The 24,202-nt window shown below is 42.6% G+C and overlaps 1 pseudogene across 1 annotated transcript; it reads right to left on the minus strand.

Annotated features, from left to right (window-relative positions):
* Positions 1-16,895: 16,895 nt before the first annotated feature.
* NFYCP2 (NFYC pseudogene 2) lies at positions 16,896-18,235 on the minus strand (annotated as a pseudogene). The gene has a single exon (NR_036691.1). The product of NR_036691.1 is annotated as an NFYC pseudogene 2 (transcript).
* Positions 18,236-24,202: the final 5,967 nt, after the last annotated feature.

A 24,202-nucleotide genomic window follows, 5' to 3' on the forward strand; every position in this document is an offset into this window, starting at 1 on the left:
TTTCAAGTGAGGCTATATCAGGGGCTATTTTCTAGACCATGGATTAACTGTTACCCTAGACCTAAGTTAAGAGTGCATTTTCCCCATGGCAGGCAGATTTTTGGAAAAATGGTATAAAAACAAAAGAGTCAATTAAATCCAACCACTGATGACTGCCAGAATAATCCTGAAGAGCTGAAGATATGTTGTAAAGACAAATAATACCTGTTGCGATGAATGGTAGAATGCAGGAGAGGTGAACTTTTGTAGTGCTGTGTGAGTTTTGTATGACAACAGTGTTTGAAACCCATTTTGAGAACTGGTAAGCTCAAAATTAGTTTTCAGCCAACATCTTCTGACACCCAGGTTCTAAAATATTAAGGTACTTTGAGATCAAGAGAAAGTACGTGCAGGAAATGCCCAGACTAGTTGGAAGTTATTGCCCTATTCTATCAGATGATGTGTTGTGGCTGTGGGACTTAAAATTAAGCAGACTTTGGAATTGCTGGTACAAGTACTCACTGCCAGAAACTTAAGAAATTAGTGGTAGATATTTTGCTAAGGCCTGGAGAATAAGAATGAGGTTAGAACATGCCTTGGAATTGCTAGAAGGATAGCAAGACTTGGAAGTAAACAGATGTTGTCATTTATGGAGAGTTTGTTGGGCCTCACCCTAATGTTGCTTGTTGATTGTGGGCCTACATTTTTAAAAGACCAGTCAGAGAGAATGACACACCATAGGTTACCAGGAGATGAATTAACTGTTATATGGATGAATTTAATGGGGTACCTCTAATCACAGCTGTTCTGCCACTGCATAATGAACATGACTAGCCCTTACCATAGTCGATCTGCTTTTGGATACTGTGAAGTTGGCAGTATTTGTCTGTCTTAACCACCATGTAAGGATATCTGTGCCCACCACCCCATCTGTCCCGTCTGTCCCTAGTAAGCAGGAAGTCTGAGTAAGGGAGTAGAGAATCCAAAACAATGCATTCTGACTTGGGAAGATCAAAGAAGGTCTTGCTAAGATGTGAGATGTGAATTTTGAGCTGAAACTTGAAGAATAAGGTTCTGTGAGGTGACAAATATGGAGAGAAGCATCCCCAGTACAGGACACAGCATTCTCTAAAATATGAATATGTAACTGTGTTTGTTAAATTTGCAGTACATTAACGCATTGTGTGTGTGTGTGTGTGTGTGTGTGTGTGTGTAATGCAGTTTTCTCTAAGAACATGAAAATAGTGGACCATAGAGAGGATAGTTGGGGAGGCCATGAAGGACTTGAAATACCATCCAAAGGCTGTAATTTTTTTCCCTACTTTCTCAGACATTTCTCTCTGGGCAGCAGAGTAGCCTAGTAAAATGCTGACGTTGCATGAGCTAGAACGACCCCTGACTACTTGCTCAAAGGTGATTTAACTGCCTAACCCAATGCTGAGCAGTGAAAACTTGTCTGTGTCTAGGATTCTAATGGCCAAGACTCAGACGCCCTAGGTAAAAAGTATGTTGAGTAAGCTAATGTAAAGTTTTTACGTGGGCCAAATTCTAACTGTGGCCACATTCTAAACTCCCCTATATCTCTCCCCTGAGTTAACTGAAATTAACAGTGACTCACCAACCATCAAAGGGATTCACAGGCTTTAAAAAGATGAGCCATTAATGAAGGCATCTCTATATCAGCTTCAAATTGGTGTTTTAAATCTTAGTTGACTCCTAGGCATTCAAGTATGAGGCAAAGGGGATCATCATTTGTATTAAAAGAGAAATCCCCAAATCAGAACTGGTTTAATTCCAACCTAATTTTGGCTACTTAAGGAGAGTAAGAATTAAAGAAGTAACAACCAGTTTTTAGTGGATCTGAGAATGAAAAAGTTAACCGTTTGATTTCATTGGGGCCTATTCCACATTAGTTTATTTGAATCTTGTATTCCAGCAAAGGCAATAAGTTCCTATGAAACCAGTTCTTAGTATTAAGCTCATCCATTTGGTGCCTCTGCCAACTGTATGGAGTTGTCTCATGAAGTCTGAGTGAGATGTTGTCTATTGAAGTGCTTTAGTGTATTGCATGATACAAAATTGCAGCTCAATAAAAATTGATCTTATCAAAATTTGAAAATCAAACTTAATGCTTTTAAGAGAGCAGTCATTTCATCTGAGCCTCACCACAAACCTGTAAGTAGAATCATTCCCATTTTACTGATGAAGAAACAGTCTCAGGTTTGAGGTAATTCCCAGTAATCACAGCATGACAACACAGATAAGAAGACCAAGCTGCTAAAATGCACTGGCTGTGGTTTGCTTGCTTGTTTTGACATATAAGCCCCTAAAATATATTTCCTAAAAGATATGTTTATGTCTGTCTACCCACATTAACCTAAGTGCCCCAAAAGGCAGTTTTCACATCTGTCTTGTTCATGTCTCCATTCCCAAAGCCTAGCACAGTGTCTGGAAGACAGAAGGTTCTCAATATTCGTTAAGTGAGTGAATCACAAAATATCCTTTTATCTTGATTTGTTCTCTCCTTGGATTTCTTAGTCTTTTCTGCTATTCAGAAGCTTAGCATTAATCAAATGGACACCTATACCTAGATACCCATTAGCAGGTTTTATCTCAAAAGAAAAGCAATGTGTGACTGAAGTCACACATTTGGATAGTTTTGTTTTCCACACAGCAGAAATGAGCAAATGGGCATGTACACTGTAAAGCCACCATGAGAACTGAGCTGGCATGGGGAGTTCACTGTTGTGGTAATATTGTTGTGGTAATAAGCTCACACTTCTGGCTGCAGCCAGGCTTTGGGAGAGGATCTGAAAGTGTTCCTTCAATTCCACTTGTCTGAAGATTGCTGGGATGCTTCCCCACCAGCCCGTTTCATCTTTCCCTTCCCTGATTCATCTTGAAGGAGGAACTAAGCAAAGGATGAGAGCTTCGTGTGGTTGATTATGAGAAAGTTCAAGGCAGCTGTTCATTTAGAAGCTGTAGAAAGAGATTGCCTCACACGCTTACATTTAAGGAAACATAAGCCTGGAGTAATTCATTTTCCAGTAGAAATTGTCCTGAGTCATTTCATTTTAAATGGGAGCCCCAGTCACAGTTAGGGATGAATTTAGCAACAAACAACATAAGGATTTTTTTCAATCTCAGCTTTATTTTCTGAAACTGTCTTTCAAACAGCCAGAAAACAACTTTAAGTTTTGAAAGAAAGAAGGAAAGAAATAAAGAGAAAGATAAAAGAAACACAAAATGACTAATGTTTTGAGATTTAGGGGCAAATTCCGTGCCCTATGGCTGAATCTTATACAAAATAGAGAAGTATTGAGATGCACTTGCAAATACGGAAGTTCGTACCTTTATTTAATTGGGTTAATATGTTTAATTTATTTTTTAGCCAGCTGGACAGTGGGATTTAATCTGACGACATGCACAGAGATGTGCAATGATGTATATGTAAGGGGAATTCTTCACAACAAATCTATGTCTGAGTGCTTTGGCCTCATCCTTCCTTGATGCAGTCTCTGCCTGCCCTAGAAACAAGAGAACACCTGTTATTCTCTCGCCACGTGTTAGGGACTCTGTAAGCACTTTACCAGCCCATCTCACAACACCCTTCCAAGTTTTCTATTTTTATGATCTCAACTTTACATGTGAGAGACTGAGGTCAAGAGAGACTAAATAACATCTTAAGGTCATTCATGGAATATGGAATAAAGTTCAGAACAGGAATTCTGGCAAATTGAGCCCTAGAATTTAAGTACTTAAGCATGATTGTCCACTCCTCCATCTCCTGAAGTGTGTATCCCTGGAAAACAGGATGTTTTCTGTACCAAAAGAACATGGAGAGATACTTCCACAGCTAAGTATGTCTCTTAAAAGTGTTTGTGTGTGTGTGTGTGATAATGGTGATGATGATTTCCTTAAAGCATTTTACTGTTGATAGCTCATCATCACCTCTAGCCAATGAAACACAGAGTCCACAAAAATGCAATTTGTCTGCCCTGGTTCACCAAAGGGATAAAACTTAAAAGACAAAATTTGTAAGACAAAACTTAAAAGATAACCATAAATGTGGCTTGTGAGCAAAGTAGGGCAGGTGGCGCAGCCATCAGGGTGGAATTTTGTTGTGTACCCTGTAGCAGCAGAAAAGCCCTACATTTGAGCACAGGAAGCCCAATAACTTTGAGTAATTTTGAGCAAGGTACTTAATCCTTCCAAATCTCAATTTCCTCATATGTAAAATGGGAAAATAACACTTGTTCTGTCTACCTTTTCTAGTTATTGTAAGGGGGTAAAAATTGTGTCAACGCGAAGACGAAAACTCCAAATCAATGCATTCGTTTACTCAGTGTATTGGTCTGTTCTCACGCTGCTAATAAAGACTTACCCAAGAATGGGTAATTTATAAAGGAAAGAGGTTTAATGGATGCACAGTTCCATATGGCTGGGGAGGCCTCACAATCATGGCAGAAGGCAAATGAGGAGCGAAGTCACATCTTACATGGCAGCAGGCAAGAAAGAGTGTGCAGGGGAACTCCCATTTATATAACCATCAGATCTCATGAGACTTATTCACTATGACAAAAACAATATGGGAGAAACTGCCTCCATGATTCAATTATGTCCACCTGGCCCCACCCTTGAAACATGGGGATTATTGCAATTTGAGGTAAGATTTGGTTGGGACCACAGCCAAACCATATAACTCAGCCATTCATTCAACAAATATTTATTGGGTGTGTACCCTGTGCAGGCATTAGGTCCTGGAGTTATGCAATTTTAACTATAGGAAAAGATTCTGGATTAAAATGGAATTTGAGGCCAGGCACTGTGGATCACGCCTGTAATCCTAGCTCTTTGGGAGGCCAAGGTGGATGGATCACGAGGTCAGGATTTCGAGACCAGCCTGGCCAGCATGGTGAAACCTTGTCCCTACTAAAAATACAAAAATTAGCCAGGCATGGTAGCATGCACCTGTAGTTCCAGCTACTCGGGAGGCTGAGGCAGGAGAATCGCTTGAACCCAGGAGGCGGAGGTTGCAGTGAGCTGACATCACACCACTACACTCCAGCCTGGCGACAGACCCAGACTCTGTCTTAAAAAAAAAAAAAAAAAAAAAAAAAAGGAATTTGACTTGTTGGGTGGTTGATAACACCAGCTTATTTGGCTTTCTTTTTAGGAGTCAGATGTTATAAACAGAATTGAATATTTTGGGAAATTCTCAACCTCTCATCTTACATTTGGCCACGGAATGCCTGCAGGAAACAAAACAACCAAAATGAATTCAGAGCCCAGCGTAGATGGGTACATCAAGGGAAATCCTGGCTGTCAGGAGGGTGACAGCTCCTGTGCAAGCCACACTGCTGTTGTGTGTGTAGCAGAAGGAAAGCCTACCCTCCCTGCACCACATCCCACGCAGCCCACACCAACTCTGCCTCTCCATGCACTGCCCACCCAGACCTGCAATTAGCACATTCATCAGTGTGCCTGGTGTTTCCTGGTGATGGAGGGCCCTGAGGTGCTCCATTTAGGAGTTAGGCTCTGCCACCTATAGCTCTCCTTGAGCCCATCTATTTTCTCCCATTCAGATGTACACCTTTTGTTGCATGCAATGAATTTTCTGATTTCTGCGTAGTCATTAGAGGGAGAGACCTCACATTAGGAAAATGACCATCACAATAAGCATGCCTATTGGCTACCTTAACTTGAAACAGGAACATGGGCCTGAGGCCAGAACAATTGCACAGGGTCCTGCCCTCAAGAGGGTTGTCCTTAGAATTTAGTATTCTGTGGTTGTCATCTTGATATTCTTAATCATATCATCTTTGGCTTTGTGTTTTGTAAATAAAATTTGATGAGACAGGGAAGCAGGCACTGAGGCTGAGGGCTTGGAGATTTGGTTTACACAGGGTCCTCTTCGGGACATGTTCTTGGCCTTCCTACTCTCTGGAGTTCTGGGTCCTGCTCGGCCTCCTCCTCCTCCCTGCCCGCACCCAGCAACTGGCCCTGGTCGGGGCCTAGGCACAGGCACTGGGATTTTCAGGTGTCTCAAGGCAGCAGCATCATGATGCATTGGCGGGGTGACTTGGTGGAGGTAAGCCTCTCATCTGCCTTGACTGCATGTTACAGGGGTGACAATACCTAGGGGGTCATCCATCTGCCTGGGTCAGGGGAAGTTGATCCAGGGAAGTGAGGGGGATCATGGCAGCCAATGCACACGCTCATGCTTTGAAGGCCTCTGTGGGCTTGTGAGGGTCTGCACTGGCCCTGCAGGCAGCGACACTAAATAGGAACTATAAAACACCACAGCAGATCAAGAGGGAGTGGAATGGGGGGAGAAATGCTTGATATTTTAATTCCTAACACTGCTCCCTGCTTTCTGCACAGGGACCCCCACAATTTTACTTTATACTGGGCCCCAAAAATGATATAGCCAAGCCTGAGTGAGAAGCTCATTTCTGGGATTCTAAAGATCTGACTCTTTTTTTTTTAATTGACAAACAACAATTGTATATATTTAGAGGGTACAATGTGGTGGTTGAAATATGTATACAATACAGAATGATGAACTCAAGCTAGTGGGAACGTTCAAAATCTATCGTCTCAGAAATTTTGAAATACAGATTACATTATTATTAATTATCTGACTTCGTTTTTTAAAAAACGCTCACAGATTAAAAGCAAAAACAAACAAAACACAATGCTGATAAAGACGACCTGTCTCCCCAGCGAAGGGGCAAGGGAAAAAGAACACAAGTTACTTTTACCACATGACCTTTCCAGACAGGAGCAGGGCTGGAGCTTTGGGGACACCACAGAAAGTCTGTTTTGTTGTTGTCGGGGGTGCAGGGTGGTGAGCAGAGAACATCTTTGTTTTAGAGATGAGGGAACGTAGGCGCAGAAAAGTTAGCCGGTTCACCCCAGACACTGAGCAAGTGCCAAACTTGAGTCAGTGGACACTAAATCTTTATAAGGGGAGAAAAATGCTCTGGAACCCTGGTCCTGACAAAAATCATTTTTATTAGAATGTCACTTAAATATGTAAAAACCTAAACCTAAGTGTGACCTCTGTAGTTGCAAAGCTTATGCAACTGTAAACTCAAAACATATTCGCACATCAAATACAAATGAAACTACAAAGCTAATTAAATTCAAATTAACAAAAATACTGTAATAGAGGGCATTTTGCTCAAACTAAATCAAGTTGATTTAATTAATTTGGATTTATTTAATGTTTAATTTAATTGTATAAATATACTTTCATGGTTTGTTCTATATTAAATATTTCTTAAATTTTGACTTATGCATACATGGGGAACTCATGAACACATGGGCATAAAATAATGTTAGCAATTTCAAGGTAGTTTTAAATATTTTGTTTTATTTTATTATATTATTATGACTATATTTCCCATTTAGGATCATCGGACCTCATGCTTAACAAAAATTGCCACTTTTGATGGAGAGTTGCTTGGTCACTTTATAAAATCGTGCTGCTCAATTGAAAATGAATTTTATGATGACAATGCTAACAAATCTGCTCTAATTGAATATCTAAGCCAATTATTTCTGCACTTAGGACTGGAGCACTTCCACACTGAAAATTTACTATTACACTTTCTGCTCACGAAATGTTGGTAAGTATTGCAATAGTTGAATGTAAAGGGCAGTGATTACTTACCAACCAGTGTGGGGGTACTGCAGTATTTAAATACAGGTTAGGGCTCCACCATACCAGCCCAATATCAGTCTTGCCTATTACAGAAATTTATCCTGCCCTTGGCCATGGCCTTTCCAGTCATTGCTCATTGATGAATGTACATAAATATGTCTGTGTATGCGTGAGTAGCATGGCGTGAGTGTGGGTGCTGTGTGTATGCAGATAGATGTATGTACGTGGGTGTATAAATTTGTATGTGTATATGTAAATGTTAGGAAATTTGGCAAATTGGAGGTAAAATTTTAAGGCTCACCAATAATCTTTGCTAAAGTTTTTGTTCTGCACATAGTAGGCACTCAAAAAAAAAAAATGGTAGTTGGCCAAGCGCAGTGGCTCACACCTGTAATCCCAGCACTTTGGGAGGCCAAGGCGGGTGGATCACTTGAGCTCAGGAGTTTGAGACCAGCCTGGGCAACATGGCAAAACCCTGTCTCTACTAAAAATACAAAAATTAGCCAGGCGTGGTGACACACACCTTTGGTCCTAGCTACTGGGGAGGCTGAGGTAGGAAGATTGCTTGAGCCTAGGAGGCAGAGGCTACAGTGAGCTGAGATGGCGCCACTGCACTCCAGCCTGGGTGACAGAGACCCTGTCTCTAAATAAATAAATAAATAAATAAAGTATTATTAATCTTATGTCACCAGATACTCTTTTTCTTAAATATTACTTTTTCTTGGTCCAGGATTTCCCATCAAATCCAAGCCAGTAAAGCATGTTATCCTATGTTTTGACTATCTCAGGCTGGTAAAAATAACTTATACTTTGCCTTTTTTTTTCATTTGACCAATATTTACCTAATACTTACTGTGACTTAGTGAAAAGTGCAGAGCATTTTATAACATTATGTTACTCTATAGTTGTTTTAGATTGTGTTTCCCAGGGACCAGAATTTTGCTTGGGAGGTGATTCCAAGGAGTGCTAGCAAGGTTGGAGAGGTGAGAGTGCGGAGGGATAGAAGCCAGTACAGGGTGCGTTCATGAACAGTTCCTGCTGTGGGCAGCCAGGCCTCCATTCCATTGGGAACCTCTGAGAGAGGATGTAGAGCCTCAGTGCTGCCCCCCAGCTCCCCACAGGGTCCAGAAGGCTGCAGCACTTACTTACCCACTTCTTGTTTTGTTGGTGAGAAGTCCTGCTCCCATGGGCCATGACTTCCTAGCACTCCGGTCTGCCTCACTCATGTGTTGAATATGACTTGGTGGCCAGGAAGTCCCTGCAAAGACAGGTAGGGAGCCTGGGGTAAGAAGACATAAGTGTTCACAGGGAGAAGGCATGCCAAGGGGGGTTGAGTGGGGTGCCAGCACCCCTACAATACTCATTGCAAATCTGTTGTTATATATATTTTGATGTGTGAGGAAGTGGGGGGTCCTGGAGAAGCTAAGTAACTCTCCCAGGGTCACAGGGATAATGAGTGCAGGAGCTGGGATTCGAACATGGCCATCTGCTCACAGAGTCTGTGCTCTTTACCACTGCAGTGATAATCAAAATGAATTTTATTCCTCCATGTGTTTTTCTCCAAAATATTCACTTCAAAACCTAAACAGGGCTGGGCACGGTGGCTGATGCCTGTAATTCCTGCACTTTGGGAGGCCTAGGCAGGTGGATCACCTGAGGTCAGCTCTTTGAGACCAGCCTGGCCAACATGGTGAAACCCGGTTTCTACTAAAAATACGAAAAATTAGCCAGGCGTGGTGGCAGCACCTATAATCCCAGCTACTCAGGAGGCTGAGACAGGAGAATCACTTGAACCCAGGAGGCAGAGGTTGCAGTGAGCCAAGATCATGCCATTGCACTCCAGTCTGGGCAACAAGAGCGCAACTCCGCCTTAAAAAAAAAAAAAGGAAAAGGAAAAGAAAAAGAAAAACATAAATGGATCTTAAGTCTGTGCACTTCATAATTTGCCGAAGGAGAAGTCATTTGATAAACATCAGACCCTTAATAATATGTATTTTGCTTTTCCATTGTCTCTGAACAAATATTTCTGAGTGTGTTTCTGCTTTTTCCTGGATGGTTCTCCGAAATAAAGTCTGACACCTTTCTATTAAGACTGAATGCAAATTGTTCAAAGAGAAACAAACAATTATGACTGCTGAGTTTGAAAGAGCATAGGAACTATGCTACCATCAGAGTTGGCACTGTGTGTCCCAAGGATCAGGAAATGGAACTGGGCACCTCACAAGATGAGTATTATAGTTTATTTATAACATTTGCATAAAAGTAAAAGGGAGAAAGACATAGAGCTAACAATAGCCTCAGAGTCCAGGTGACAAGGACCTTATTGTGAAATGAACTGGTCCTCCTGGCTCTTGTTAGTAACTCCCCCTTCATGAACAAGATCCAAGACAGACACCTTTCAGGGAATGCCATCTGGAGTGAACTGCGGGACATGGAGGTTTCCTGGATCTATGACTCGTAAATCAAAATCCTGGAAGTAAGTCACATCCATTTCAACTATTTCAACCTGACCTCCCCATGCACTGAGTAGGCCTTGTGCCAGCATTTCAAATCTATTCACTGTGTTCATGGCTATGTCTGTCAGGTGATGTAAGCAATATCACAACAGCACAAGACATGGTCCCAACTGCAGAGAATATTTCCATGTTGTAGGAAATTGTATGGAGATATCCATTTTTATAAAGGATATTGTGTCTGTAGAGTATAGTCTTCCTCCCCTGGCCTGCCTGTTTCCAGGTCTCTTCCTACCTGTAAACTCTTTTGCATCAGGGAGGTTTGTGCTATGGTAGGAACCTGAAGCTTTTTAAGGTTGGTAATTCAACTCTTCTTGCCTTTGTGAAAGCCTGGATGGATTGAAATTTTCTGGATGTCCTTGATACAAAGGACTATAAGGAGTCTTATCTTTCAGGGCAAAAAGATGGAAGCACCGGCTTACCCCAGACCAGGAAGTGGGTAAAGTTCCAAAGTTGTTGGCAAAACAGGGACCTATAGGCATGTCTCTGGAAGCACCCTAGTGAGTTTGCAGAGCCTCTGAGGTAATGTGGTGGCACTGGGCTCCTAGGGAGGCTGGAGCCCAAGCACTGAAGATTTGGCCTCATGCATGGCCCAAAAGCAGAGATCTGCCACACAGACCCTTTTGTGTCTGGAAATCACAGACCCTTTTCTGCCTCTGAATGCCAAACACAAGCTTCTCAGATTTTTTAAAAATATAGAGAGAAGGAGAAGTCACAGGAGTGACTCAAAATAATTTTCTAGCCTGCCCAGTGAAGGAGGATGAGGTCAGTTTGAAGCAATTTTAAAGGTATTTCTTGACTGCTTGAGTCCGTAGTTTCACATTCAAGACAAAATAATAATATGAAATGCATACTTCAGTGCGCCACAGGGCTAAGTACAGTGTGTGGAACTCTCATACGATCCTCACAGATCTCTGTGAACTAGGTGGTTTTGTTTGTGCCACCTCCAAATGAGGACAATGAGGCCTAGAGAGTTCTGGTCTTTGCTCAAGCTAGTGCCTCATCAAGGTGAGATGTGACACAGGCCAGTGGATTCCAAAGCCTGTTCGTTTAACACAACCCTGTAAGTCTAACTTGTGAAACAATTAGGACACCAGCCATCAGGGTATATAGGTAAGAATCCAGTTCCTTTCAGCAGTGAATGTTGGAGTATTTCAGAGAAAGCAAGACCCATGTGGACTCAAAGCAGGAATATAAGCATCAGGAGGGCTGATGACTTAATTGATTTTGTTCAACAATGTTTCCCACGTGCCTAGAATAGGGCATGGCCCATAGTAGGAGCTTCATAAATATTTGATAAATCAGTGAATGAATGATTGACAGGAGTCTAGAATTCTGTCTTATATGAAGAGACAAGAGGGCTTTAAATAATCCAAAGGAAAGAAGAAAGCCATTGCATGGCCATTATTAATATTAAAGAGTCAAAAAAAAAAAAAAACCAGGTACTGGCGAGGTTGTGGAGAAAAAGGAATGCTTTTACACTGCTGGTGGGATGGTAAATTAGTTCAACCACTGTGGAAGACAGTATGGGAATTCCTGAAAGACCTAGAGGCAGAAATACCATTCAACTCAGCAATCTCATTACTGGGTACATACCCACCAAAATATAAATCATTCTGTCAGAAAGGCACATGCACATGTACATTCATTGCAGCACTATTCACAATAGCAAAGACATGGAATCAACCTAAATGTCCATCAGTGATAGACTGGATAAAGCAAATGTGGTACATACGCACCATGGAATACTATGCAGCCATAAAAAGGAATGAGATCATGTCCTTTGCAAGAACATGGATGGAGCTGGAGGACATGATCCTTAGCAAACTAACACAGGAACAGAAAATCAAATATTGCATGTTCTCACTTATAAGTGGAAGCTAAATGATGAGAACACATAGACACATGGGGGGAAACAACACACACTGGGGCCTGTCGGAGGGCAGGGTGGGTGGAAGGAGAGAGAGCATCAGGAAGAATAGCTAGTGGATGCTAGGCTTAATACCTGGGTGATGAGATGATCTGTGCAGCAAACCACCACGGCACACATTTACCTGTATAACAAACCTGCACATGCACTTAAAAGGTAGAAGTAAAAAAATAATAAAATAAAATATCGATAGTTTAAAAAAAGAAAGAAAGCCATTCCAAATGGGGTAAACACCTCTTTTCCAAATCACCTTGCAAAATAGTTAGGGATTTGTGTGAAGGAACGCTACTTGACAGCATCCCAAAATGGGCTCATTATCCTTGCTAGTCTGCTCTTCCAAGCCCTGATCACTGCAGTCAAGGAGAAGGAATTCTTTCTGATTCTAGAATGCAGATAGACTCCATTAGAACAAGTAGTATTTTGGGTAAAATAAAGAAGAGATAAGCTGAGGTAAATACCTAGACTAATGACAAGAGAGCCTTATGTTTAGCATAGACTTCTAGTTCAGTGTTTTTAAGCATATAACTGCTCATTATGTCTTCATTAAAGCATTTCAAGGGATCCCCAGGTGAATTATAATGATTAAAAATAATGCAAAGCAAAAAGCTTTTGGATCTACGTTGGTGAACAAAAAGACTCCTCTTAAAAGGAGAGAGTGGCTCAGCTCCAAAAGTCTCATGGAACAGTCTAAGAAGAAGGGAAATCTATAATAGGCAATTTTTAGGGTAGAAGATTGATATGGTTTGACTGTGTCCCCACCCAAATCTCATCTTGAATTGTAGCTCCCATAATCCCCAGGTGTCATGGGAGGGGCCTGGTAGGAGGTAATTGAATTATGAGGGCAAGTTTTTCCCATGTTGTTCCCATGACAGTAAATAAGTCTCATGAGGTCTGATGGTTTTATAAAGGGCAGTTCCCCTCCACATGCTTTCTTGCCTGCCACCATGTAAGACATGCCTTTGCTCCTCCTTTGCCTTCCACCGTGATTGTGAGGCCTCCTCAGCCATGTGGAACTGTGAATCCATTAAACTTCATTTTCTTTTTAAATAACCCAGTCTCGGGTATTTCTTCACAGCAGTATGAAGGTGGACTAATATGAAGATATATGTTAATGTCAATTTAAGAAGACTCACCTTTAAATAAAACTGTCAGGCAACAATGTCACATGGCTTTATTTCTGTTTGACTGCAGGAGCACGTGAGAAATAGACCCCTTAAGGGATTTTCCCTAAGACAGGAGATCCAAGCCTCCTAATGTTCATTCTCAAATCTATTCAGAGATTACTTGGTGGCCAAATAAAAAGATTGAAGGAAAATTACCATTTAACTTATAGGACAGTCTACAACTGAAATTAATGGCGAGATTAAAAAAAGAAAAACCCACCAAAATGTTGCTCATCTTTTATATGAACTCAAATACCTTCTGGCTTCTTTAAATGAAAAGTCTGACATTTTTCCTGGCAGTATTGCTGAAAAGATAAGACAAATGGAAATTCCTGAGATGATCTGGGATACTTATCAGGAGGAACAGCTTCAAGGGAAATGTCTGCTTTCTCTCTCTTGCAAATTACGAAACCATTGACAGAAAGAAACACGTTGGTATTTGATAATAAGAAGGCAGCGTGTATCATAATATTCTAGGGCATATCTGTTCAGTGTAAAAAGAAATTGATCTGCGTAATAGTCGAGAGTCATTACATCACCATTCCCTGCCTACCCACTCCCTAGTTAGCCCCTGTGTGGCCACAGAGTGGCTGTAAAATGGCCCACTGTGCTATTTATATCCATTGCTGCCAGTGTTACTTTGATCTAAACCTTGAGATTCACAAACAGCAGAAGAGGGAATGTTGGTAATGACAATCACTGTCTCAGGAAATAGTTTACAGTGACAGTGGATTCTATTTCAATTTCTGGACTCCAAGGTAGCGTTCACCACTGCCCCACTGGGGCCACCTATGGGATTAACATTGGCAGTGCCCCAAATACACTATGTATACTTTCTGGTTCTTACCCAGCATCAAATTCAATCCCAAAAAGCAAACACTCGTTTCACTTACTCACTTCCTTAAGACTCAGTGCTAACTTGGAGCATATTTTCCTGCTGCAAGATTTTAAGTTTTTATTGGTCCTGGAGGGGCCAGAAAAGCTACAGAAAGGCCTTTGCTTGCAGTACCAGCTTCAAAAACTTTCAGCTAAAAGCAGGAAAGTCAAAAGCATCAAATACAGTCTTATAAAGGCTATTTTGATTTAGAGAAAGCTTTTGAATTTGCGTTTAGTTGCGAATCCTGATGGCAAGATTAACACTGTTTATGCGGAGAAAAACCTTCATGGAGGTGAGATGAGTGCCCGTTTTCGGTGAGAATGGCAGGATGTGCTACACGTAGATTGGGTTAACTATGTTGGCCCCTCTCTGCTACTCTTCTGCTTAAAACGTTTCACAGGTTCTCTATGGTACTAATGCATATTTATCAGAATTCTGTTGGTAGCAAGGCACAAAAACCTAACTTAAAAAGCTTTAGCTTAAAAGTATGTTTATTGGTTCATGTGGCTGAAAATTCCAGCGCATGGGACTGGTTTCAGCTGGATCCAGGAGTTCAAATAATACTGCCAAGATTTTCTCTGTCTCAGGGTGAGGTCTGGGCAATCTTTGTGCCTGGGGTGCAAGATTTCAGGCAGCAGGTCATGCAAGTACTGACTCTGCTCTAGCAGGGCCCTGAGAGACAGAGCCCATGTACACAGGCTTGCCTTCTTAAATTTGCACTGTAGGCATCTTGCCTGCCTTACCCTGGACCCTCTTTTTCTCTTAGCTTTTTTTTTCATGTTCCTTTCTTTCTTGGGTGAGTTCTTCTCACTCGGTGCGCAGAAGCTCACCAAAGCACCAGACATGGTTCTACCACATCACCAGACTTTTTCCTTATCACCTCTGCCTCCCTAAAACTCTTTTTCCATTTATTTCAGGAAAGAATGACCCCAAGACTTGGGCTCATTGGCTCTTATTAGCCCCACTTGAGTGTGGAAGAGTCACTCAATAGAATGTGCTCCCCAAACTGTTTCCTTTTCCTCCCGAGCACACAGCTAAGCACATTCCCCAGGTTCCTCGCATCTAGGTCTGGTCATGTGCACAGTGCCAGGTAGGGAAATGTAAGTAAAAATAAAGACCATCTCCTCCAGACCTGGACCCACTCCACATTCACTTCTTCACTCATTGTCTGGGCATAGAACATTCAGCAGGTGACAGCGCCATTAGTTGAAATGAGCCTAGATCCCTGAGTCACCACTTGGAGGAAGCCATACTGAAGAACCACCTGATCAGGAGCGTGCACAATGTTTTGTTTGTTTGTTTTTGTGAGGGGGAAACCAGCCATTGAGATTTAGAGACTGTTACAACAGCTAGTGTTACTCATTCTCTGTAATCCATTGAGTGTTTGCCTCTTGTTGAACCCATTAGTAGTATCAAAAATGATGGGATGTTCTGAGCAGCCAGCCATTGGTCATGTGCTCATCTTTGGAGCCCTGAGTTAGGTAGAGCCCTATCCCCAACCATAAAAAAGTTAGAGCAGAAGTAATTCCCCCAAAGAAAACCAAGATGCCATTACTAGAATAAGGGGGAGAAGATGCAGCACAGACAACAAACGTGACGTGCACAACAGCCCCACACGTCCCTCTCAGGCTGGCCTCTAATGCAGTGCTTGAGGAACACCCAGCATTTTGAGGTCCTTTTCAAGCCATATCCCTGCTCTCATTCTTGCTCTTCCTCTCCATCTTCCCTCTTGCTCACCTTCTCAGCCCCCACTCTCTTACCCTCCATTCACCTTCTGGAAATTCTGCTGATTTTTAAAACGCGGCTTGGATATCCCTTCCTTCCTGACGTTTCTTCACATTCAAGCTAAGTTTTATGTTCTTCTCTTTCTCTCATGGGGCCCTGTGATTTCTCTTTCTTTGTCTTTACTTCATTATTTAGAAATTATTAACTGTGAAACTCTCAAAGCCGGGATAGGCCTAGTCATCATTTTGTCCCCAACACCTAGCACAGTGCTTCCATCTGGTTGAAATGTTCAGATGAATAAAGAAAGGAATATAGTCCAATCATCAAACCGTGGGCTAAATTCATCTTTGCAGTGGCTATCCACAGGATAGCTAAATCCACATTTCCACTCCTATCATTAAGGAAGTAAGAAATTTTATAATCAAAAACAATCAGTTACATGCATGTTTCTGAAACCATATGTCTATTTTGCAACTCTTATTGTGTTAGTAAATCTAAGGGCTAACTTTTGAGTAAGATAAGGTCTTATTAATTTATTTTTTTAATCTAAAATAGATTTATTGCATTTCACGCAGTTTGAAGGCCATGGAAAGGGGACTAGCACAGTTTTTAATGCATTTAAAAAATAAAAGGGAGGAGGGCAGCAAACACATAAAGTCCTAGTGTCCTGGGTCCCTGGGAGAAAAGAGTGTGGCAATGAACCCACCCACTCTCCATGGGGAATAAATCTGTCTCTTAAATGCAAGGAATATTTCCATGGCCTCTGGATGCAAATACACAGAGCTTTGGGGTAAGAGCAAGGGATGGGGAGAGGACCACTAGTGAAAACGCAGCTACACATATTGACCTAATTCAATCTGAGGGTAGAACAACATGGCAAATCTTGGGGGCAGCAGCTGTTCCAAGGGTCAAGAAATATCGTACACCCACGGGGAGATTTGCTTCTAAAAAGAAGTGGCGGTGAGAAACAAAACAAAACAAAACAAACAAAAGGAGAAATATTTCTTCAGCCACACTCTTCAAGAAAATGCCACAAATATGTGATTTAATATTTTAATTTCATAGCATTGGACACACAGCTCAACATATTGAAATATTGATTCCTTGGAGAAAAAAGGAAACAAAAAATATTGCATCTTTCTGTTGGAGAATCTCGGCCCCCAGGCATGAGGCCTAGTGCGCCATTGTCCTAGCCTGCAGGAGGAGCTGAGGTCGGCCGGGTCCTCTGGGGAAGAAGGCTGTGTTCATGACCTGGGGCTGTACGGCAAAAATTGTGTTGAGTGTCCTCGGCCTTGCCAGCTCCGGCCCTCAGCCGCCAGTCACCCGGGGGGCCTGCCCATCAGAGGGCTGGTTGACTGACTGGAAAAACATGGGCTGGGCAGGTCCTGGCCCGCAGGTATGGATACTTGCTGGATCTGGTAGAGCTGCTGTCCATCTGTGAACTGGCTGAACTACTGCTGTCTTTGCTGGACCTCTGTCTGTGTAATCGGTTGAGCGCTGGTGGCAAGTGTCTGGATCTGTCCCTGCAGAACGTGGGTGCCTGATACAGACTGGGCTAAGCGGATACACTGCAGCTGGCCAGCCTTCAGCTGCACCGGGATCTGCTGGATCTCTCCTGTGTTAGTGAGGATCTGCTACATCACCTGCACGGTCCATCCAGTACCACTCTGGGCCTACTGGGCTTGACCCTGTGGCTGGGCCTGGACAATCTGCACCTGCTGACCTTCTCCAACCTGCGTCGTCACGGGCGTGGTCTGGCCCTGCTGAAGCTGTGCGATGATGATCTGCCCAGGCTGCATGGTGGTCATGGAGCTGGCGGTGGTCTGGCCTTGCTGCTGTCCCTGGACTTGGACGGGCGGTGGGCTGCTGAGCCAGCGTGAAATAGTATTGGACTGGCTCAGCAGGAGTTACAGACTGCAGCACCTCCTCCTGACACTTTGGAGGTTTCAGTTCATCTCTTAGAACAATATCGATGAGAAAATCCAATTGATCAAATTTCGTAATTGCCATGGCGACATAAGTCCGGCAGTTGTTATCCTCTGTGTGAATCCAGGCTCGAAGAGTCAACTCTGTGATAAAAAATCTGGGCTGCCCTGGCAAAGAGCACAGGGGCCTCTGCACTGATCATCTTCACATCTTCATCCAGTTTCATAATCTTCTTAATACGAGCCAGTGGGAGTTCCTGCATTCAGAAATCTTTCACTGCTAAATTCCAGATTTCTTCCATGACCCGAAGCCAGAAGGACTTTAGGCTTTGCTGGGCATCACTGCGGCTAGTACCACCAAATCCTCCTTCTGTGGACATTTCGACAAACGCCTCTTCAGGGAGTCCAGGAAGAGCAGGAGCCGCCCTGGCGCTCCTGCGGAGTCGGGCACTGCATAGGCTCAGGCACCGCGGAGGTGAGGGGGGAAGCGGGAGTCTCGGAGAACGCAGCACGCGCGAAGCTGGCGCATAAACGAGATGGCGGCCACGCCGTTTGCACGGTCTCCCCTTTTCCCCTCCCCCTCCCCTGGCGCCCCGACTCCTATAATTAATTTCATGTAAGAGGTATTCTGAGAGCGTAGTTATATCAAAAACTTACCTGCGTTATTTGCGTGTGTGTGTGAAAAATGAAGATAAAGAGCATATTTAAAAGTAAAATCTACTTTGTGGGAATAGAATTTACTTTTCACTTTTATTTTTCCTTCCCTTTTCCAATGTTTGGGATCCGCAGAGGATGAGTGCTCAACGTACAGCAGAGAGGAGGATAAAGCTGTAAGCAGTGTCTCAGATTTGATTGTGATCTCTCTCTTAAATAATGTCCTCATTGTCTGATTGAGACAGAAACTCCCCACCTCCCTATTAAAAATTTTTTTTATAAACCCTGACCCAGAGGTTTCTGAAGCCTCCATTGATAACACACAATGGCCTGTTCTTCTAGGATGTTTCATGGCCTTTAAGGAAGGCTCTGTTCGCCCGCATGATGAAAGGGTGAGAGATGAGCAAGGAGAAGCCGAGGTTCACCCGCCTCGCCCTGGCTAGGCAGAGGACTGTGGGCAAGTGCAGGAATCCATAAAGGACGAGCTGGGCCGAGGGAAGCCACGTTTGTATCTCAAGGACAAGAAATAGGCAAACCTTCACAGGAAATATTTCCCGGCACCTTTCAGCTTAGAGGACAGAGGAAAGAGGAGGCAAGAAGGAAAAGGGAAATAAAGTCACAGAAGGGGGAGGAAAGGGAGGGAACCTAAGCAAGCACCACCATGAGCCAGAGCCAGTGTTCAAGGTGGCTTTGCCCCTTTTCTCGTCGTGGGCTTTCCGATGCCAGTCCTCTCCGCCCTGGCCTTTGGCTGAGGCCATTTTTCAATGGTCTAGAGGTGAAGTATCCCAAGCGGATGTGTCGTGCTGAGCTGTATTTGCACTCTCTGTCAGCTTGGCCTAGTGCCCACCCATTGTGAAGGCCCTCACTCTAATCCCTGAGCCTGTGAATGTGTCACCTTACATGGCACAGCGGACTTTACCGATGTGAGTAAACTTACAGTCTTTCAGATTAGACTGGGCTCATCTGGATTATCCAGATGAGATACAACGTCACTGGCTTTGAAACTGGAGGGAGGGACCACAAGCCAATGGGGGAATGTGGGCTGCCTCTAGGGGCTGGAAAAGGTCATGGATTCTTCCCGCATTGGACTTCAGAAAGGAAAGTAGCCCCGCTGAAACCTCGATTTTAGCCCAGTGAGACCTATGTCAGACTTCTGACCGACAGAACTATAAAATAATAAATTTGTATTATTTTAAGCCACTAAATTTATGGTCATTTGTGGCAGCTATGGAAAGCTGATATATTCATTAACAGATCTTCAGAAGAGCTAGAGGCCAGAGGCCAAAAAACACTTCATAGTCTGCTTGGCAGCTAATAGCAGGAAACAAGCATTAAATTGTGTGTCCTGTGCTTCTCTGCACTAGTCCCACTCTGCTTAGTTATAAAGGGCTGTAATGAGAGGAGGGAGCTGAAAAAGAACTGAAAGTATTTACCGACGTGGAGAGGAAGGAGATGACAAAGGTCAGCATAAATGGGGCTGTCTCCCATCTTTTAGGGCAAGTAAAAGGCTGGTGAGCCATAGAGTTGTGAAAATTATATTTTAAAATCAAAGTTGGGAAAGATTTCAAAGTTGGATTACTTTTTTCAAGCTCTGGGATTGTAAATATATTAAGGTGATAAAATAAAATGGTGCATGTGAGATCTCTTTGAAAACTGTAAAATATAAGATGTAGTGGGCTAGATAGTTGTCTCCAAAAGAGTAAGTCCGGGTCCTAATTCCTAGAACATCTAAATGGACCTCATTTGGAAAAAGGGGCTTTGCCAAGGTGATCACATTAAAGATCATGAGAAAAGGTATTCTGAATTACCCCTAAATGCAATCACATATATTTTCCCAAGACAGCCACAGATAGGAGAAGAGGAGGAAGCAATGTGGCCACAGAGGCAGAGACTGGAGTGATGGAGCCAAAAGCCAAGGAATGTTGGCAGCTGCCATATGTTGAAGGAGTCACAATCTTTCCTCATAATCTGGAGGAAGTGGCACCCTGCCAGCACCTTGATTTCAGACTTCTGGCCTCCAGAACTGTGGGAGGATACCTTTCTGTTATTTTAAGGCACACAATTTGTGGAAATTAGGTATGGCAGCCCTAGAAAACTCATATATGTAAGGTTAGGAGCTAAGCTAGAAAATAAAAGTACTACTAGAAATGGCAATATATTCATTTATGAGTGTTATTAAGTGGTCCACTGACAATCCCATGTTGTAGTAGGATGATGTGATTAGCATGTGAGCCCCTAATCAGAGTTCAAGTTCATGATTAGGTGGTGAGATCCTTGAGGATCCTGTCATCCCATAGTGCTGGGTGCCAAATAGGTGCCCAATAGATATTTTCTGGTTTGCATATCATAACAAGGAGTAATTCCTCCAAACAGGAGCTCATCAAGAATGTGGAAAAGTAGAACTGCTCCCATCAGGAATCGTGGCCCTGTGGAACCCCAGCTCACTCTTTCTCTTGGGAGCTACTGAATTCTCAGGAAAAGCCTATACCAAGTCCAGCAACTTCAGGGCCATCTGTGACACTCTGTGGACCCCTCATGAAGGTTTTCCCCCTAACTCTTATGCAAGAGAAGTTGACCATGCCCCAAAGCCACATCGACCAGACGAATCCCCATGATATGAGGGGATGGGATGAAATTTTCCAAGGTGAGGGTCGTGAAGCTACCTCTACCCAAGAGGGAGCCCGTTACGTCACATTCCTATTGGCCTCCATTCAAACCTGAGTCCTGCTGCACCGTGAATTTGAGAAAACTTTTGATCCTCAGATTGCTGCCTCATTTGTTTCTAGAAATGTCTAGAAAGTTTCTAGAAAATAGTCATTTTGTGTGGAAGCCTCCCAAAGTCCTTTACTGGCTAGCTTTGGCTCCTGTCACAATACCTTTCTCTCAGTCAGCATGACAACCATCTGCCCTTGAGGCTGAGAGGCCAAAACAAATATGATCAGGGTTGCTATCTTCAGAGTGCTGACAGCACCCTTGGTGTTGGACAACTGGCATGTTGGTTCCAGAATTGTTCCCCAGCCAAGTGCAGCCAGCCCAAGTCACAATGCCAAGGGTTGGTTCCCAAGGGACTTTGCAGAAACTGCAAAGTGAGAGAGGATACTATATACATTTGGATGAGAAATACGCTTCCATCAGCACTGGTTCCCCCACCCAATTCAGCAATACAGGAAGCTATTAAAAAGAATGCATGTTTTAGTTACAAGTTTGGCAATTGTTCATTTATCACTGTACAGTCTCCTTACACCCAAATATGCCCAGGAGTCAAACGTCCCAAATCTCTTTTCTCTCTCGTGGATGAAATTAATCATTTATTCAAATGAGATTTTCTGTGCTACATTGGCATGACCGCCCCTGTCTGGGATCCTGATGTCCCACTCAAGAGAATGGCTCTGTTGTTCTCCTTCTCAGACTGAAGCCCAGAGCAGCTAATTCGCCTCCTCACAGTGGCAGCATCCACACTGTGAATTTGTAGGTCAGGATGTCTGTTAATTCTTTTGATCCTATGGCTTCCTTCCTTGCTGCAACACTTCATGCATCTAGTCTGGTTGTGTTAGGATGGCTATGACCAGTTTTTGTCATGGTAATTGGGTTATATTCCATTCTATTTTAAAAGTAGAAGTATGATGCTTTGTTGAGGCAGTAACAATTCCTGTTATGTCAACTGCACGTTGCAGAACAAATTCAGTTTTCAGTGATTCTGTTTTTTGAGATGAAATTGGAAAGGACTTTGGAAATTGTCTGGCTCAAATTCTCCATTTTGAGATTCTTCCAAAGTCAAAAGCTTGTCTGTAATGGAGCAGGATTTGCAGTCAATTCTCAAAGTCCCCATTCTAAGCTCTTACCATGACCTCAAGCTTCCCAGAACATGATTGTCTGAAGATCCTTGACTATCTTGCATTTCCTTGTCAGTAATCCCATGTCTCATGTTCCTCCTGGAAAGGAATTTTGATATCCATTTATTTTGATAGGAGAGTCCTGGCCATCATCTGGCATGAGCTGCAGAGAAGCTTGTGTCCATCTATGAGGTGGGAGGCATATTATTTCCCAACCTAATTGCAGCTAAGCCACCAAGACTCTAGATGTTAGGGTGCAATGACAGTCGTCCTGAATGTTGGCTCTTGTTTGACAGCATCATTCACTCTTACTGCTGGGACTCACACATGGCAACGATGGGACCCTGAATGAGTTAAGGTGGATGCATTGATGGCCCCTCCTGTACTGCATTAGATGGCATCTGTGTAACCAGCTCATGAAGTTTGGCAGAACATGGAGAAAGACATGAGTAAAGAAGGCATGCTCTTCCCTTGGATGAAAGCACTATTCAAGCATCTCTCAGATAAGAGTTCCTGGCATGATACATTATCCTATTTTACCTTCTGAACAGGGTTGTGTTGAGGATAAAATAGCAAGATGACATGTAAAAGCACATAGAAGGTTTTCATGAGTAAAAATTAATATGACTGCTAAGTACTTGACTTTATATTACTAGTCCCTTTTAAAATGTATTTTTTAAACATGGACAAAATTGCCACATAATATGTAATATAAATTATCTGGGAAAAATTTGCTAACCCTCTTATTTTGGCCAAATGTCTCCCCCAGATGGATGTGGAACTAAGACTCAGATCCAATATTGGCTGTGCCAAATGAAGAAATGGAAATAGATTTGAAAGGTGGGAACTTTGAATGGAAAACTTTTTTTCCTTGCTTTCCAACCTAGAATCTGTTCAAAAGTGTTAGACAGCTCTCAGAATGCACAGTGGGAGAATAAAATTTCAAATGGAAAATTTTAAGTGCCAAGAGCCTCTCATCACTAGGATAACATTTTGTTTTTTCTTTCTTGAATTGTCTGACTTCCTGTCCTTTGCTGAACTATTTTGTAACCATTTTATTAGTATTTAGATGTTACATAAAATATTTTGGTTTGGGTTTTCTATAGGTTTTTGAAGGCATGTGAAATAAGGTCAAATCTTGTATTTTTGTAAAATTTTATCAATACATTCCTAAAGAAGAGGTTCAAAGGGTGGCGATAGAGAGAGGAGAGCAGTTAGTCCTAACCCTTAACGTTATTCTCCTCTTTTGGCACTTTGGTTCTTAGTAAGGAACAAGTCTTTCTTTTTCTTTTTTTTTTTTTTTTTTTTTTTTTGAGACAGGGTTTCCCTCTGTCACCCAGGCTGGAGTGCAGCAGCACTATTGTGGCTCACTGCAGCGTCAACCTTCTGGGCTCCAGCGATCCTCTTGCCTCAGCCTCCTTGAGTGAGTCTTCCTTGAACATTTACTTTCAACCAGGTTTGATTATAAGTGGTTTTGTTTCCTTTTGGTTTTGCTTTTGCTTTTTTCTGAATTCAGCATTTTCTTGTAAGTTGTCACAGTTACACTAATTCTTAAGGAAATAGATTCACTCCACATTTGCGTTGTTGGAGTTGTAGCTACCTTCTTTGTGTAAGTGGTTCACTGATGTGTTTTTTGGGATAATCAATACAGATGAATATTATATATTCATCAGATTTCAGATTAGCAGTCCTCGAATACAAGGACATTGTTTGGTAAATATGAGCGAAAGAGGAAATCTTTAAAGTTAGTGCAGTTGACTCACAAGATTGATGCACTGAGAACAAACTCCATGTCATCTCCATCCCTGGATCTCAGGGAGTGGCCTTCTTCCTCTCTTGCTCTCTGATATGTGACAGTTTGTAAGGTTGCACGAGAAGTTTATCTAGATAGTGGCCTCCAAGTAGACCCCCAGTGGTCACAGAACGGAAAGACT

The sequence above is a fragment of the Homo sapiens genome, chromosome 9 (genome assembly GCF_000001405.40).
Source record: "Homo sapiens chromosome 9, GRCh38.p14 Primary Assembly".
In the NCBI taxonomy this organism is placed as follows: Eukaryota; Metazoa; Chordata; class Mammalia; order Primates; family Hominidae; genus Homo; species Homo sapiens.